This window comes from Homo sapiens, chromosome 13 (genome assembly GCF_000001405.40).
Source record: "Homo sapiens chromosome 13, GRCh38.p14 Primary Assembly".
Taxonomy (NCBI): Eukaryota; Metazoa; Chordata; class Mammalia; order Primates; family Hominidae; genus Homo; species Homo sapiens.
Window position 1 is genome coordinate 41911274 of NC_000013.11, and position 17558 is coordinate 41928831.

Below are 17558 nucleotides of genomic sequence, written 5' to 3' on the forward strand. Positions count from 1 at the left end.
GGCTGGTCTCGAACTCCTGACCTCAGGTGATCCACCCACCTCAGCCTCCCAAAGGGCTGGGATTACAGGTGTGAGCCACTGTGCCTGGTCAAGACTTGTAAATTTTCTTATTTGGGTTGAGATTTGAGCTTCAGTTCACTTAACAACAGTTCTCAAAGAACTGCAAATGTTTAAGAGGACAACATGTCAGAAAGGGGAAACATGGGATTTCAACTCTAGCTCTATTATTTACCAGCTGGATAAAGCTTGAGTGAGTTATTTAACCTCTGTGAACTTGTTTTCTCATCTATTTAAAGAAAAAACAAGGAGATATATAACACAGAAGAGATACTCTACAGACCTTAGGCTTCCTTTAAAGACTGCATAACTTCCAAAAGTCAAGGGAATTGTTTGGCTTTTTAAAATGTGAGCCTGAGATAAGGGAATGTTCACTAAGCAGTATAATACCAAGTTTTGCTTTGTAATTTCAGACTTGCTGATTCTATCTGCTACTCATTGCCTGAATTTATATCTCTTTTCTACTGGAAGTGGGGGACTTTCTAGTTACAGTAAAAATTTGCTACAGCTATGAAAATTTGCTAAAGCTATACATTTGACTCCCAAATAACTTATGCCAAACACTTTATAAACAAATCACCCTTTGATGTCAGCATTTGTTTCAAATAATGACTAATTCTGATATTTTTTATAAATTCTTAATCTTATTTTATTTCATAGCTTACAAAGTTAAGACCCTTAGAAATTGACAAGAATTAACTGCTCACCAAGTACTGCATAGCAATAGAGCGTCGAAGAGGCCCAGGAGGTCCTATTAGAAAAACATCTTGCCCCAAAAGATCCTTCTGCATTATCCATCTTAGATGCTGAACTACAGATTGAGCCAGAGAGTCTGAAACTATAAAGAAAAAAGAGAAAATGAAGTGCAAATTTAAGTATTACTTATAATATAAATCTCCAAGTAATGTGGACATATTTATATATATATATAACGTATATAAAATATGTGTTTATCTGTGTATTTATAAACATATGTATATAAATATATATAAACATATGCATATGTTTATCTGGACAAACATGTAGACACCTGCTGAATTTTCACATAGTTTTACAATAAAACCATTATTGTCGATGCTAAAACAAGATTAAGTTTATAATATCACAAAGAATTACATATTCCTTACTTGAAAGCTTTCCATAACATTTGAATAATAACCTATAACTGTTCCTAACGAAATAAAAGCGATCTTCAAGGATGATTTGAGGAACTGATTTGATTAATCACAATTTTATAGTCCAATCTTTTTGTTCTAAAAGAGAGATATGATCAAATCATCCCAGATAGTTAATGATTATCATAGTCTTAAAAAATCTGAGAAAAGCATACTACAACTTAAGTTGGTAATGGGTTGTAAGATCATGGTTAGAAAATTTGATGTAGACTTAAAACTACTTCTTTAGAATTAACTATTTAAGTCTATTCTTCTATACCAAATTCTTTTGTGAATAGAAGACCACCCCATGCAACGCCCTTCCAGGTCTACTATTAAATCACCCCATCAATGTGCTCATCTTCTAACTCAGCATTTTCTAAAATGTTTAAATTAATACAATTAGTTTGGTTTTGCTCATATGTAAATCACCCAGTGAGTCCATTCCTGGGTATAAAAGAAAAACTCATAACCTTGTACATCAAGAGACATGTATAATACTCAGAGCAGAACTGTCCAAAATAAAACTGGAGACAGAACAATGAATAAATACACAGAATGAAATATTATACAGCAACAAAAACAGAATAAAAGACCCCCACTTCCAATGATATGCTTAACCCTTAAAGGTATAATATTGAGTGAAAAAAAATAAGAATAAATCATGTATAATACCATTTTAATAAATCTCAGTAAACTAGCAAATGAATTCTTTAGAAATAGATATATATGTGATAAAACAGTACTTGAAAAAGCAAAACAGCAAGGGAATTGTAAGTTGATGATAACTGGATACCTGGGGGTAAGGAGTGGCCATGGAATCAAAGAGATTCTTATGTATAGCTTCAAGGATATTGGTAATATTCTAGTTTTTACATTAGATGTGGGTTACAGTGTTTATTATGTTGCATTTTATACAGACAGACACAGACATCTGTATTACATAATGTCTTTTGTATGTAGCAAATATTCCACACGTGCTAAACTTTGTTTAATCACCCCACTGAGGTCACGGATTAGTTCAAAGATCCAACTAAGAAAGCCTAGGACTAAATATCTAGTGCTTCTAGTGCTTCTCCTCCTCTGACAGCACAATATTGTTAGGATAGTCTCTCCTGTACTCCCCTGCCCCAAAGAAAGCAAACATTTAATCTTTGGAAAAGATAATTTTCTGATTTTCATTATTCTGATAGGAAGATCAAGGACAAGGTTTTGGGTAAATTGTTTGGTTTATCATGTCACTGGAGTCACACTAAAGCATATTATAATCTCCCCAAAACAAATGCCCATATGTCTGAGACTCATTACTTCAAGTAGAACTGTTTGGTTTCTCTCTTGTTTTTACAAATCCTCTAAGACATTCATCCCTAGCAGGATAAAATCCCTAAGACATGCATCCCTAGCGGGATAAAAGTTGGTTCCTGGAAGGGGGACTTGAAAAAAATGTTTAGATGTTACAATAGTTTGTGGTCCTCGGCCAGGCATGGTGGCTCACGCCTGTAATCCCAGCACTTTGGGAGGCCGAGGCAGGTGGATCACCTGAGGTCAGAAGTTCAAGACCAGCCTGGCCCACATGGCGAAGCCTGTAGTCCCAGCTACTCAGGAGGCTGAGGCTGAAGAATCACTTGAACAGGGGAGGCAGAGGTTGCAGTGAGCTAAGATCACGCCACTGCACTCCAGCCTGGGCGACAAAGTGAGACTCCATCTCTAAAAGGACACAGTACATAAGCAGATATATAACATATCTATGGTATTCAAGTTTCTTGGGGTTAGGAAGGAATAATAACAGGGAGAAAATATCCGCAGGAGAGTAATAAAGAAAAGTAGATTGAAAAATACTGCTCTAAGAACCTATACTTTTTAGCAATCTATTAGGTAGTTTCATGATGCTAGCATGCAACTGGCCTGAGTCTAGAGAGTTAATCTTATTTATAACTATCACATGCCCTTTTACCTATTTTCTTTTCTACTTGAAGCTTAAATCAATCTTTATAATATACAGTCTATTCTTTCTTGCTTCAAGACAAGTCAGCCTCCTTGCTGTTTAAGGATGAAACAAAATAAGAGTTAAGACACCTTAACTTCTTTATTAGTAAAACTACACAATGTTCTCTATGCTGTAAATCTATTACCTCTTCCTACTCTGATATCAAACATATAATTAAAAACTTAAAAACACTTTGGGTTTTTTCTTTACATTTTCATAAATCTCAGCTTAATTTGGCCACAGGCATTCTCTATAGTACTCTCACAGTTTTGTGTCACTTTGTATTCAACTTTGGCAATGTGCCTGACCTTCCATTATCTGGACTTGATAATTTAAAATCCAAAATTTGTAAAGTTCTAGAAGTTCAAGCCAAGTTGGTTTCTTTAACTTCCTCCCACCTTTTATTATTTATGACTATTGGTAACTGTTTATAATTATGGAGTCTCAATTTAGTTCTATACTTCCAGTTTGTTTTGAATGTTTTGACCTTGGAACCATAATCATTTTCAAGATTTTTTAAAATCTAAGGTAGCAGTTCCTAATCAAATGTGAGGCCTGCCCCTCATAAATTGTCTGTATAATAAAGTGCTGATGTTTAGGAATAACTTATCTTTTCATTTTTTGAAGCAAACTGGAGCAGAATTGAGGTTATAGCCATAATAGAGACATTTGTACAGCAGTGTACTTTCTTAAGTAGAAGAGAAAAGCATGGAGTTATTTAAAGCTAGAGCCCTGGGAATTATGTATAATCATGTTTATGCTCCTGGGAGTGTCTTCCACTTCAGCATGATGCACATGTACTGAGAAACACTGCCTTAAGGCACATCTGACTAGTCTCAGTCCTTCCTTTATTCTTAGCACTCAGCAGTGGTTCTCAACTGGTGACCATACTGCTACCATTCTAGGCCTGCCAGGAGGCATTTGGAAAATGTCTGGGAGTACTTTGGGTTGTTGTAAAGCTTTGGGAAATGAGAAATAATTTGGTACACCACTGATATTTTGTGATGGTAAATGCAATGACCAAGATGGTCTCATCCTGCCCAGTATGTCAATGGCACCATAGTTGAGAAATATTGTGTAGTCATTATTTTTTCTCAAGGCCTCTGTTGCCTGCACACCACTAATGAGTTTGTCACAATTAAGCCCAGAGAAAGAGTTTCTCTCTATTTCCTTTACCTTCTGAAAGATAAAACTTTTAGCGAGGAAATCAGTAGAGAATAAGTTCTACCTTTAGAGTAAGTCTGTAGGAGTTGTCAGGATATCTAAGGCTCTCATCATCACATTCCAATTTTACATAAGTTTCTTAATACATATAAGCTACTTCTGAATCCCATGGCTGGCCTTGTAGTCTATGGCATACCTTCACAAAGAAAATACATTTTCCCTGCTTTTATTCTCCCTCAATAACAATACTAATAATGGCTATAATTTATTGCATTCCTATCAGGTACCAGGTAAACATACAAACGATTTTTCACATAGGATCTCATAACAATTCTAGAAAGCAGCAGACCTATTGTATAAAGACACAGATTCAAGACAGATTGGCTGGGTTCAAATTCCAACTCTACTATTTACTAGCTATGTAACCTTAATCAAGTTATTTAACCTCTCTGCTCAGTTTCCTCATCTGTATAATAGATACAATTGTACTTACTTATAAAGTTGTTATGAGGATTATATTAAGCACTTAGAACAGTGTCTAATAACAGTAAATGCTGTGTTTGTTAAATACTCATTACTCCCATTTTACAATAAGAAAATCAAAATTGGAAATGTAGTATCATTTGTCTATAGCTGCTAAGTCCATAAACCAAGATTTATACCTAAGTTGTTTAAGTCCAAAACTTGTATTTCAGTCATTATGTTCTACAGTCCCTCCAAAAGCTTTTCAACAGGTGTCCAGCTTCAGGTGCAAGACTTTCCCTACAAGTGTGGACCTCTCAGGGCTACATCAAATTTAGCAGACTTGCTGTTCCAGCCATTAGTTCTACTTCTTTTTGGTGGTATCAATGGTATGTTTTATTCCTTTTATTAAAATTTCAAAGTTATTTTGTAATGAATATTATGTTATCAGAGGATCTACTTCTCAAAGAAAATCCAACTTTCACTTATTCATGTTTTAGTATAGCGTATTTTACCAAAAAGCATGTCTATATTTAATTTGTCAGGAAATTGCACTAAACTACTGAAAGAAAGCATCATGCAGTGCTATGTGGTATCTGTGGTATATTTTACATTAATGCTTGAAACTAGCTGTATTTTTAGAATGGCCTCAAGAAAACATGAGTCATACTTAAAAGCACGCCAGAAATAGAAACAAGATTCAAGACTGTACATTACGAACATCTGCAAAACAAAGTGCCAAACTGCCATGCATAACCTAATATAAACATAGCACAGTACACGAGAGAAATCCCCAACTTCAATGTTTTCAGGCACAAAATGCTACCTTCCAGGAGTCCACATAATAATAAACCGATGTCAAAATAATCCCAAAGAGCTTGATCCTATATTCTAAGATTCCTTTTCTATGTAAAGATAAAAACATGTAGTTCATACTGGCCTAAATCCCTGATTCAATTCCTAACCAATATTTGTTTTCAAAAAATATGTACTATTTTTTGCCCAGCCATATTCAAAGGCTTTAAAGTAATTTTATCATAGTTATCTAAATTATAATTTTCTCCCTTCATGAACTCAAATTTTCATACATATAAAAGTTAAAATTAAAATTCTAGAAAATTAAGCATAGGTCAGATTCTATTATAATAAATCCTTCAAAACTGTTGATGTTTTCTTAGTATCCCAAAAAGCAGCATAATATAATGGAGGAAAAAAAAAAGTCTTTGAAGCCAGACAGACCTACTGTGATTTTTCATCCTGTCTTTTATCCATGTCCTTAGACAAGCATTTTGACTCTTTCAGGTCTGTTTCCTTATTTTCTTTTTTAAATTTTTTAAATTATACTTTAAGTTCTGAGATACATGTGCAGAACACGCAGATTTGTAGTTTCCTTATTTTCAAAATAAAGATAATAATACTTATTGAGTATGGTTTGTGAGGATTATAGGTAAAGCACCATGCCCAGTCCCTCAGCCAATGAGAACCAGGTACGGGAGAATTATTCAAGTCTCATCCTCACCTGCAAACTCCTATCTCTGCTGTGTACCCTGGACACCAGGCTGTATAGTGTGGATTTGGTGGATATGAATAGGCTCCTGAGTTTACACTCAAATTACCTGCTGGGCCTAGAGGCAAATCTGAAGAATAAGGGAGAAAGGAACCCAGTACTTACTACATCCTCACTGGTAAAGCCTATGTTAGAGTACTTTCACTTGACATTTCATTACCATTTCATCACCCCACAAAATAGCTCAGAAAGAATCTACATCTAGGCCCATAACATGCCCCTGAATTTGATTTTTCTACCACATCACAACACAAGATTTCAAAGGAAGCATGACTAACCTCCTCACTGCAACTACGTGCTCATCTGCTAAACTTTCCCCTATTTACCATGTAACATTCTGTAGTTAGATATAATGGACATGAAGGGTGAAAATATTTAGCACCAAAGTCCTCATTATTTACAACACGAACTAACTGAACTAAAAAATTAATTTATTCACACAGCTATATTTATTAAGGACCTACTATATGCTCAGCACCAAGAATACAAAGATGAATAAAATAAGGTTCTTTGAAGACATCAAAAGAAAAATACATATATAAAACATCAGCTTACGTAGCTTATATAAAGCCAATCATTTATAAAGTGGGCTGATGTTTCTATGATCCAATATAGCTGTTATCAAAACTAAATCTACAGCACTGGCCAGCACAGTGCTCAGCACAGAGAAGATATTCAGCTTTTCTTAAAATTGGAAAAATTCATCAATATGTATGAAATAATTATACATATCCATATTCAATGACTAAGTGTCATGTTGTTCACTTTTTGTGTAAGGGTACAAAAATAAGAGTATACATGTATATTTGCTTGTGTTTGTATAGAAAAATGCAAGACAGATTCCCCTGAAACTAATACTGTGAGAATTAACATGAATGAAAATAGGGGTGAATATATAATTTCTCAATGTATATCTTTTTATATTGTTTTGATTTCTGAATGACAAAAATATATTAGTTCTGCAAAAAAGTTATTTTTTTAAAGTCATGCTTTAGAAAATATTTTACATAAGGAAATGTCCACAATATGTTGCTTTATGAAAATGGTCTGTACATACAAAAGTATGGTCTGCAAATAAAAAAAGGTAAGAAAACATTCTGTATATACAAAATAGTATATACAGTACATACTATTATTTTCTTAAATGATACACATATACATAGTCATTTTTTAAAACACTAGATACGTTTCACAAAGATTCAAGCCATACAAAGTGTGTTCTCCGACCAAAATTAAATTAAATTAGAAATTAGTAATAAAAAGATCTTTGGAAAATCTCCAAATATTTAGAGACTAAACAGCATAATTCTACATAGCACATGGGATCATTGCTAAGTGGTATCAGTAAGATGGCTGACTTGAAGTTCCTAGCACTCCTCCCCCATAAAAAAACCAAGCCAAACAAATGAAAAAACGACATTTCCACCAAAATAAATAAAGGAGAGCCCTGGAGAACTGCAAAGGAGTAGGAGAAATCCTGTAGAGCACAGAAACCCAGGATGGCCACATAGAGAAGGAAAGGAAACTTTGCCTCTGCCAAGGATGATCTCAGCCCCTATTTGGGGATCAGCTTGGACCCAGGAGGTATTTCTCTCTGCAGGAAAAAGGTAAGCAGAAGGACACTACCAGCTCGCATCACTACTATGGATACCTGCAGTCTTTGCTACCAGAGATTCCTGCAGTCCTCACAGGCTCTGAGCCCAGCTGAGGGAGCTCCCCAGAGTACACATTCTGTGCTACTCCCAGAGAACAAACCGACACTGTGCCTTACCCCAGTCCCCTGCCTGAGCTGCTACTGTGTTGTAACCAGAGCCACTGCTCCAGTGCATCCTGTTCCAGGGATGGGTAGTCATTGCACCCCTCCATCCTGGAGGCTTTGCCATCACTGCAGCACAGCTACCTGGTAGCCCCCAATCCCTGAATTTAGCTACTGCTATGCTCCAAGTTACCCTGAAGCTGCTCCATCCCCTGCATCCCAGACATTGGTGTACCCTGCCCTTCAAGGCCTGAGCTGAAGTGATGCTCTCACTGGGGACCCACAGCATCAAACTACCCCCAGACACCACACCCATGCAACATCCTATCCTCCTGGATGCCCCAACCCTCCAGCACACCAGAGAAGATGTCCTACCCAGTGCCATAGCCGACACTGTACCCTGCCTCTCAGGGACCTAGCACCTCCTCCAACCCACGTAGCTGTATATTTTAGGGCCAAGCTGATACGGCATCTTACTTCCAGGGAATCACAGCCTTGGATGAGCTGTGCCTCTGCCCTACAGGTCAAATGGCCAAAGGGCCTTTCCTCCCTAGAACAGGACTAGGAACTCAGAATCTGAGCTGCTGAGGAGCCCCACCTCCCGAGGCAGTAGACTGAGGCTGTACTGCTCCCTGTCCCCTGGGCCGTATCTGTGCCTTGCCATTTCTGGGTTCTTGACAGTGCTGCACCTGGCTGCACAGAACCTGGGCTATTGCTGAGTGTCACCATCCCAGCATCAAGAGTAATTAGTGTGTGACATCTCATCTCCCAGGGCTCAAGTTGCCACTGTGCCCTGTTGATTCTAGGTCCCAAATTGCAGCTGTGCCCTATTCCCTGGGGCCTGAACCTTTGAGGCTCCCCTTCTTCCCTGGAGCCATGCCAGTTCTGCACACTGCCCTCCATGGTCAGAGCCACAGCTATATTCCTGCCCCCTGGGTGTAAGCTGTTAGAAAGTGCTTCAGAGGCAAGAGCAAACACATTCAAAAGCTAGCAGAAGGGAAGAAATAACTAAGATCAGAGCAGAACTGAAGAAGATAGAGACACAAAAAAAACCTTCAAAAAAATCAATGAATCCAGAAGCTGGTTTTTTGAAAAGATCAATAAAATTGATAGACCGCTAGCAAGACTAATAAAGAAGAAAAGAGAGAAGAATCAAATAGATGAAATAAAAAATGATAAAGGGGATATTACCACCGATCCCACAGAAATACAAACTACCATGAGAGAATACTATAAACACTTCTGCACAAATAAACTAGAAAATCTAGAAGAAATGGATAAATTCCTCGACACATACACCCTCCCAAGACTAAACCAGGAAGAAGGTGAATCCCTGAAAAGACCAATAACAAGCTCTGAAATTGAGGCAATAATAGGCTACCAACCAAAAAAAGTCCAGGACCAGATGGATTCACAGCCAAATTCTACCAGAAGTACAAAGAGGAGTTGATACCATTCCTTCTGAAACTATTCCAAACAATAGAAAAAGAGGGAATCCTCCATAACTCATTTTTTGAGGCCAGCATCATCCTGATACCAAAGCCTGGCAGAGAACACAAGAAAAAAAGAGAATTTTAGACCAATATCCCTGATGAACATCGATGCAAAAATCCTCAATAAAATACTGGCAAACCAAAAACAGCAGCACATCAAAAAGCTTATCCGCCATGATCAAGTTGGTTTCATCCCTGGGATGCAAGGCTGGTTCAACATATGCAAATCAATAAACGTAATCCAGCACATAAACACAACCAAAGACAAAAAACCACATGATTATCTCAATAGATGCAGAAAAGGCCTTCAACAAAATTCAACAGCCCTTCATGCTAAAAACTCTCAATAAATTAGGTATTGATGGGATGTATCTCAAAATAATAAGAGCTTTTTATGACAAACCCACAGCCAACATCATACTGAATGGGCAAAAACTGGAAGCATTCCCTTTGAAAACTGGCACAAGACAGGGATGCCCTCTCTCACCACTCCTATTCAACACAGTGTTGGAAGTTCTGGCCAGGGCAATCAGGCAGGAGAAAGAAATTAAGGGTATTCGATTAGGAAAACAGGAAGTCAAATTGTCCCTGTTTGCAGATGACATGACTGTATATTTAGAAAGCCCCATTGTCTCAGCCCAAAATTTCCTTAAGCTGATAAGCAACTTCAGCAAAGTCTCAGGATACAAAATCAATGTGCAAACATCACAAGCATTCCGATACACCAATAACAGACAGAGAACCAAATCATGAGTGAACTCCCATTCACAATTGCTTCAAAGAGAATAAAATACCTAGGAATCCAACTTACAAGGGATGTGAAGGACCTCTTCAAGGAGAACTACAAACCACTCCTCAACTAAATAAAAGAGGACACAAACAAATGGAAGAACATTCCATGCTCATGGATAGGAAGAATCAGTATCGTGAAAATGGCCACACTGCCCAAGGTAATTTATAGACTCAATGTCATCTCCATCAAGCTACCAATGACTTTCTTCACAGAATTGGAAAAGACTACTTTAAAGTTCATACGGAACCAAAAAAGAGCCTGCATTGCCAAGTCAATCCTAAGCCAATAGAACAAAGCTGGAGGCATCACACTACCTGACTTCAAACTATACTACAAGGCTACAGGAACCAAAACAGCATGGTATGGTACCAAAACAGAGATATAGATCAATGGAACAGAACAGAGCCCTCAGAAATAATACCACACATCTACAACCATCTGATCTTTGACAAACCTGACAAAAACAAGAAATGGGGAAACGATTCCCTATTTAATAAATGGTGCTAGGAAAACTGGCTAGCCACAGGTAGAAAGCTGAAACTGGATCCCATCCTTACACCCTATACAAAAATTAATTCAAGATGGATTAAAGGCTTAAATGTTAGACCTAAAACCATAAAAACCCTAGAAGAAAACCTAGGCAATACCATTCAGGACATAGGCATGGGCAAGGACTTCATGTCTAAAACACCAAAAGCAATGGCAACGGAAGCCAAAATTGACAAATGGGATCTAATTAAACTAAATACCTTCTGCACAGCAAAAGAAACTACCATCAGAGTGAACAGGCAACCTACAGAATGGGAGAAAATTTTTACAATCTACCCATCTGACAAAGGGCTAATATCCAGAATTTACAAAGAACTTAAACAAAATTACAAGAAAAAAACAAACAACCCGATCAACAAGTGGGCAAAGGATATGAACAGACACTTCTCAAAAGAAGACATTTATGCAGCCAAAAGACACATGAAAAAATGCTCATCATCACTGGCCATCAGAGAAATGCAAAGCAAAACCACAATGAGATACCATCTCACACCAGTTAGAATGGCAATCATTAAAAAGTTAGGAAACAACAGGTTCTAGAGAGGATGTGGAGAAATAGGAATACTTTTACACTGTTAGTGGGATTGTAAACTAGTTCAACCATTGTGGAAGACAGTGTGGTGATTCCTCAAGGATCTAGAACTAGAAATATGATTTGACCCAGCCATCCCATTACTGGGTATATACCCAAAGGATTACAAATCATGCTGCTATAAAGACACATGCACATGTATGTTTACTGCGGCATTATTCACAATAGCAAAGACTTGGAACCAACCCAAATGTCCATCAATGATAGACTGGATTAAGAAAATGTGGTACATATACACCATGGAATACTATGCAGCCATAAAAAAGGATGAGTTCATGTCCTTTGTAGGGACATGGATGAAGCTGGAAACCATCATTCTGAGCAAACTACCACAAGGACAGAAAAACAAACACCGCATGTTCTCACTCATAGGTGGGAAATTAACAATGAGAACACTTGGACACAGGGTGGGGAACATCACACACCGGGGCTTGCCGTGGGGTGGGGGGAGCGGGGAGGGATAGCATTTGGAGATATATCTAATGTAAATGATGAGTTAATGAGTGCAGCACACCAACATGGCACATGTATACATATGTAACTAACCTGCACGTTGTGCACATGTACCCTAGAACTTAAAGTATAATTTAAAAAAAAAGTGCTTCAGAGAAACAGACCTCAGCTTTGTGGGAGAAATGTATCCACTTTTGCCTTGGAAAGTGAACCAACACCTCAAGTCATAGTGTTTCAGTAATTTTGTAAGACCCCGGGCCTAGGAATTCTGGACCTGTGCCCCAGATCCCCGTGCTGCTGCATCTGCCTGTGGGCTGTGTCAGACTAGACATCAAGAGAGATACCCTCATCTAAGACTCTCCATTGTGGGAAAGACAAGAACAGGAGGATCCCTGAAGCTTTGGCCACTGAGGATCCTAATAACCTATGCTGCCACCATCACTGACACAAACTCCTGCAGCCTAGACCACCAAGACACCTGTAGTCATTGCTGAAATTGATCATAACTAAAGAAGCTGTAGCTACACAGAGACTACACCACTGCTCCAACGTGCCCAACCAATATCTTCAGGCCCATCTGCAGGGGAAAGTCTTCCCCTAAAAAAGCCACTCTGTAAAGTTTGGAAGAGGTGACTGCTCTATCAAATGCACAGAAATCAGCATCAGAACACAAACACACACACAAACACACACAAATGAAAAAGCAAAGAAACATGACACCACCAAAGGAACATAATAATTCCCCAGTAACTGACCCCAAAGAAATGGATATTTACAAATGGCCTAAAAAGGAACTCAAAAAAACAGTCTTAAGGAAATTCAGCAAGATATAAGAGAATACAGATAGAAAATTCAATGAAAACAGGAAAACAATTTATAACCTCAGAGATTCAACAAGCAGATAGATATCATAAAAAAGAACCAAATAGAAATCTTGGAACTGGAGAATGCAGTCAATGAAATAAAAAATACAAGACAGAGCTTCAAAAATAGATGAGATCAAGCAAAACCAAAAATATCTGAACTTGAAGATAGCTCTTCTGAAATTACCCAGTCAAAAGAAACAGAAACAGAAACAGGAGAGAAGAGAGGAGGGGAAGGGAGGGGAGGGGAGGAGAGGAGATGAAGGAAGGAAAAGCGGGGGGAAGGGAGGAAGGAAGAAAGGAAAAGAAAAAAGAAAGAAAAAGAAAACAGAGTGAAAAAGAGTGAAGACAGCCCATGGGACTTATGGGACACTACTAAGTGAACAAATACATTATGGGATATTCAGATGGAGAGGAGACAAAGACAGGGACAGAAAGCTTATTTAATGAAATAAATGCTGAGGTCCAGAATTCCTAGGCCCGGGGTCTTACAAAATTACTGAAACACTATGACTTGAGCTGTTGGTTCACTTTCCAAGGCAAAAGTGGATACAGTTCTCCCACAAAGCTGAGGTCTGTTTCTCTGAAGCACTTTCTTTTTTTTTTTTTTAATTATACTTTAAGTTCTAGGGTACATGTGCACAACGTGCAAGTCAGTTACATATGTATACATGTGCCATGTTGGTGTGCTGCACCCATTAACTCATCATTTCCCAAGTATTGGAAGATATATGGACATCAGATTCATGAAGCTTAAAAGTCTCCAAACAGATTTAATCCAATAAGCTATTCTCCAATGTACATTATAATTAGTCTGTCAGTCAAAGACAGAGAGTTTTAAAAGCAGCAAAAGAAAAGCATCAAGTCACATATAAGGGAATCCCCATTAGACTATTAGATTTCTCTGTAGAAACCATGCAGGCCAGGAGAGAATGGAATAATATATTCAAAGTACTGAAAGAAAAAAACTGCCAGTCAAAAATACTACACCCAGAAAAAACTGCCCTTCAGAAATTAAGGAGAAATAAAGTATTTCCCAGATAAGCAAAGACTGAGAGAATTCATCACCACTGGACCTGCCTTACAAGAAATGCTTCAGGGAGTTCTTCAAGTGGAAATAAAAGAATGGTCATTAATATTATGAGTACATATTGAAGTATAAAACTCACTGGTAAATACATAATCAAATCCAGAATACTCCGATACTGTAAACAGTGTGTAAATCATACATATCTCTAGTACGAAGGTTAAAAGTCAATTCAGTCAAAAATAACTAAAGCTAAAATAAGTTGTTAAGGAACATATAATATAAAAAGATGTAAATCTGAGGAGTGCGTAAAAGTCTAGAGTTTTTGTATGTGGCAGAAGTTAAGTTGTTATCAGCTTAAAATAGTCAATTATAAGATGGACTTTTGGGTGGAGCCTTCTGGAAAGGTGGCAGTGGTACAGGGGGCTGAGGTGAAAGTGGATGGCAGCAAGCCAAAACTGAGCAAGAATGAGCTGAAGAGATCCCTGAAAGCCAAGAAGAAAGTGGCAGAGAAGGAGGCCAAGCAGGAAGAACTCAGTGAGAAAGTTAAACCAGGCCACAGCTGCTGTCACCAACCATACCACTGACAGTGGTGTGGGTACTGAGGAGAAGAGCCTGGACCCAAATCAACACTACAAGATCCATAGTCAGGCAGTTTATCAACTGAATGTCAATGGGGAACACCCATACCCACACAAGTTCCATGCAGACATCTCATTCAATGACTTCATCCAAGAATATAGTCACCAGCAGCCTGGGGGTCACCTGAATGATGTCACCTTAAAGGTGGCAGGTAGGATCCATGCTAAAAGAGCTTCTGAGGGAAAGTTCATCTTCTATGACCTTCAAGGAGAGGGGGTCAAGTTGCAAGTCATGGTGAATCCCAGAAATTATAAATCAGAAGAATTTATTCATATTAGTAAGAAACTGCATCAAGGAGACATAATTGGAGTTCAGGGGAACCCTGGGAAAACCAAGAAGGGTGAGCTGAGCATCATTCCTTATGAGATCACACTGCTGTCTCCCCACATGCATATGTTACCTCATCTTCACTGTGGCCTCAAAGACCAGGAAACAAGGTATCATCAGAAATACTTGGACTTGATACTAAATGATTTTGTGAGGCAGAAATTTATCATCTGCTCTAAGATCATCACATGTATAAGAAGTTTCTTGGATGAACTGGGATTCCTAAAGATTGAAACTCCCATGGTGAACATCATCCCGGGGGAGCTGTGGCCAAGCTTTTCATCACTTATGACAATGCGCTGGACATGAGAATTGCTCCGGAACTCTATCATAAGATGCTAGTGGTTGGTGGCACCAAGCAGATTTATGAAACTGGATGCCAGTTCCAGAATGAAGGGATTGATTTGAGGCACAATCCTGAGTTCACCACCTGCGAGTTCTATATGGCCTATGCAGACTACCACAATCTCTTGGAAATCACAGAGAAGATGGTTTCAGGGATGGTAAAGCATATTACAGGCAGTTACAAGGTCAGCTACCACCCAGATGGCCCATAGGGCCAGGCCTATGATACTGACTTCACCCCACCCTTCCAGAGAATCAGCATGGTAGAAGAACTTGAGAAAGCCCTGGGGGGTAAAGCTGCCAGAAACTAACCTCTTTGAAACTGATGAAACTTGCAAACTTCTTAATGATATCTGTGTGGCAAAAGCTGTTGAATGCCCTCTACCTTGGACCACAGCCAGGCTCCTTGACAAGCTTGTAGGGGAGTTCCTGGAAATGATTTGCATCAATCCTACATTAATCTGTGATCATCCACAGATAATGAGCGCTATGGCAAATGGCACCGCTCTAAAGAGAATCTGTCCAAGCACTTTGAGCTGCTTGTCATGAAGAAAGAGATAAGCGATGCCTAAACTAAGCTGAATAATCCTGTGCCGCAGCAGCGGGTTTTTGAACAACAGGCCAAAGCCAAGGCCACAGGTGATGATGAGGCCATTTCACAGATGAAAACTTCTGTACTGCCCTGGAATACGTACAGGCATGGGCATTGACCAAGTCACCATTTTTCTCAAAAGATTCCAACAACATCAAGGAAGTACTTCTATTTCCTGCTATAAAACCCAAAGACAAGGAGAATGTAGCAACCACTGATATGCTGGAAAGCACAACAGCTGGCACTTCTGTCTAGAAAATAATAATTGCAAGTTGTATAAGTCAAGCATCTTTGCACATCTGCAAAAGATCAAGGTCTGCAAGGGAATTCTTGTGTGTTGCTTTCCATTTGACTACCACAGTTCCATTCAGCCATCAGAAGAGAGACAAGGAATTAAGAATTTCTTTTTATTCCTTGTTACCAAATAAACCATTTGTCTCCTCTCAAAAAAAAAAAACTATAAGATGTTTTATGTAAGCCTCATCATACCTGCAAAACAAAAAAGTATAGCAGATACAAAAACAATACAGAGAAAGAAATCAAAGCATAGTGTTATAGAAAATCATCAAATCACAGAGGGTAACAACAGAGAAAGAAAGGAACAAAGGATCTACAAAACAGCCAGAAAACAAATAACACAATGGAAACAGTGAGTCCTTACCTATAAATAATTATCTTGAATGTAAATAAATTATCTAAGAGTGGCTGCATGGATTTAAAAAAAGGGGGGAATTCAATTATATGCTGCCTACAAGAGACCCACTTTAGCTTTAAGGACAGACAGGACAAATGTAAAGGGATGGAAGAAGATAAGATATTCTATGGAAATGGTAACCAAAAGAAAGCATGAATGGCTATACTAATATCTAATAAAATAGACTTCACGTCAAATTCTGTCACAAGAGACAAAGAAGGTCATTATTTAATAATAAAGGAGTAAATTCTTCAAGGGAACATAACAATTATAAATATATATTCACCCAACACTGTAGCACCTAAATACATTAAAGCAAATATTAATGGACATGAAGAGATAAAGAGCAATACAATAATCATAGAGGACTTCAATTCTCAATTTTCAACAAAGGATATATCAACCAGACAGAAAATTGATAAGGAAATACTGAGTTTGAATTGCACCTTAGACCAAATAAGCCTAACAGACATATTTGAAATTTTTCATCCAACATCAGCAGTATACACATTTATCTCTAGCATACATGAAATGGTCTCCAAAATTGTCCATGTTAGGCCAGAAAACAAGCCTTAACAAATTTAGAAAACCAAAATCATATCTAGTATCATTTCAGATCATAATGATATGAAACTAGAAAACAGTAACAGGAAGAATCCTGGAAAATTTACAAATATGTGAAAATGAAACAACATGCTCTTGAACAACCAGTGGGCCAAGAAGAAACCAAAAGGGAAATTTTAAAATATCTTGAGACAAATGACAATGGAAACACAGCATGCCAAAACCTGTGGGATGTAGCAAAAGCAGTTCTAAGAGCAAAGTTTACAGCAATAGATGCCTACATTAAAAAGATTCTGAACAGTTGAACGTTATGCCTCAAGAACTCGAAAAAAAGAAATAAACCCAAAGTTAGCAGAAGAAAGGAAATAAACATCATAACAGAAATAAATCAAATAGAAAACAGAAAAACCATAGACAGAATCAACAAAACTAAGAGGTTTTTTGAAAAAATAAAACTGATAAACCTTCAGCTTGTTT

General features: G+C 37.9%; 1 protein-coding gene and 1 pseudogene across 2 annotated transcripts in view, besides 2 other annotated features; one reads left to right on the top strand and one right to left on the bottom strand.

The window, feature by feature from the left end:
* The window catches only part of VWA8 (von Willebrand factor A domain containing 8), a 394275-nt gene that overhangs the window by 344439 nt on the left and 32278 nt on the right, over window positions 1-17558 (bottom strand). For both annotated transcript variants that reach the window (NM_015058.2, NM_001009814.2), the window contains exon 3: window positions 765-895. In NM_015058.2, the coding sequence (NP_055873.1) occupies window positions 765-895 (131 nt within the window). The remainder of the gene's footprint in view (window positions 1-764; window positions 896-17558) is intronic.
* Window positions 5423-5502: an enhancer, noted in NCBI's record as "active region_7634". NCBI's record gives its function as "activates an Ori minimal core promoter by ATAC-STARR-seq in GM12878 lymphoblastoid cells {active_cell/tissue: GM12878}" and the evidence as "EXISTENCE:reporter gene assay evidence [ECO:0000049][PMID:35858748]".
* Window positions 6612-6731: an enhancer, noted in NCBI's record as "active region_7635". NCBI's record gives its function as "activates an Ori minimal core promoter by ATAC-STARR-seq in GM12878 lymphoblastoid cells {active_cell/tissue: GM12878}" and the evidence as "EXISTENCE:reporter gene assay evidence [ECO:0000049][PMID:35858748]".
* On the top strand, window positions 14299-16251 carry KARS1P1 (lysyl-tRNA synthetase 1 pseudogene 1; annotated as a pseudogene).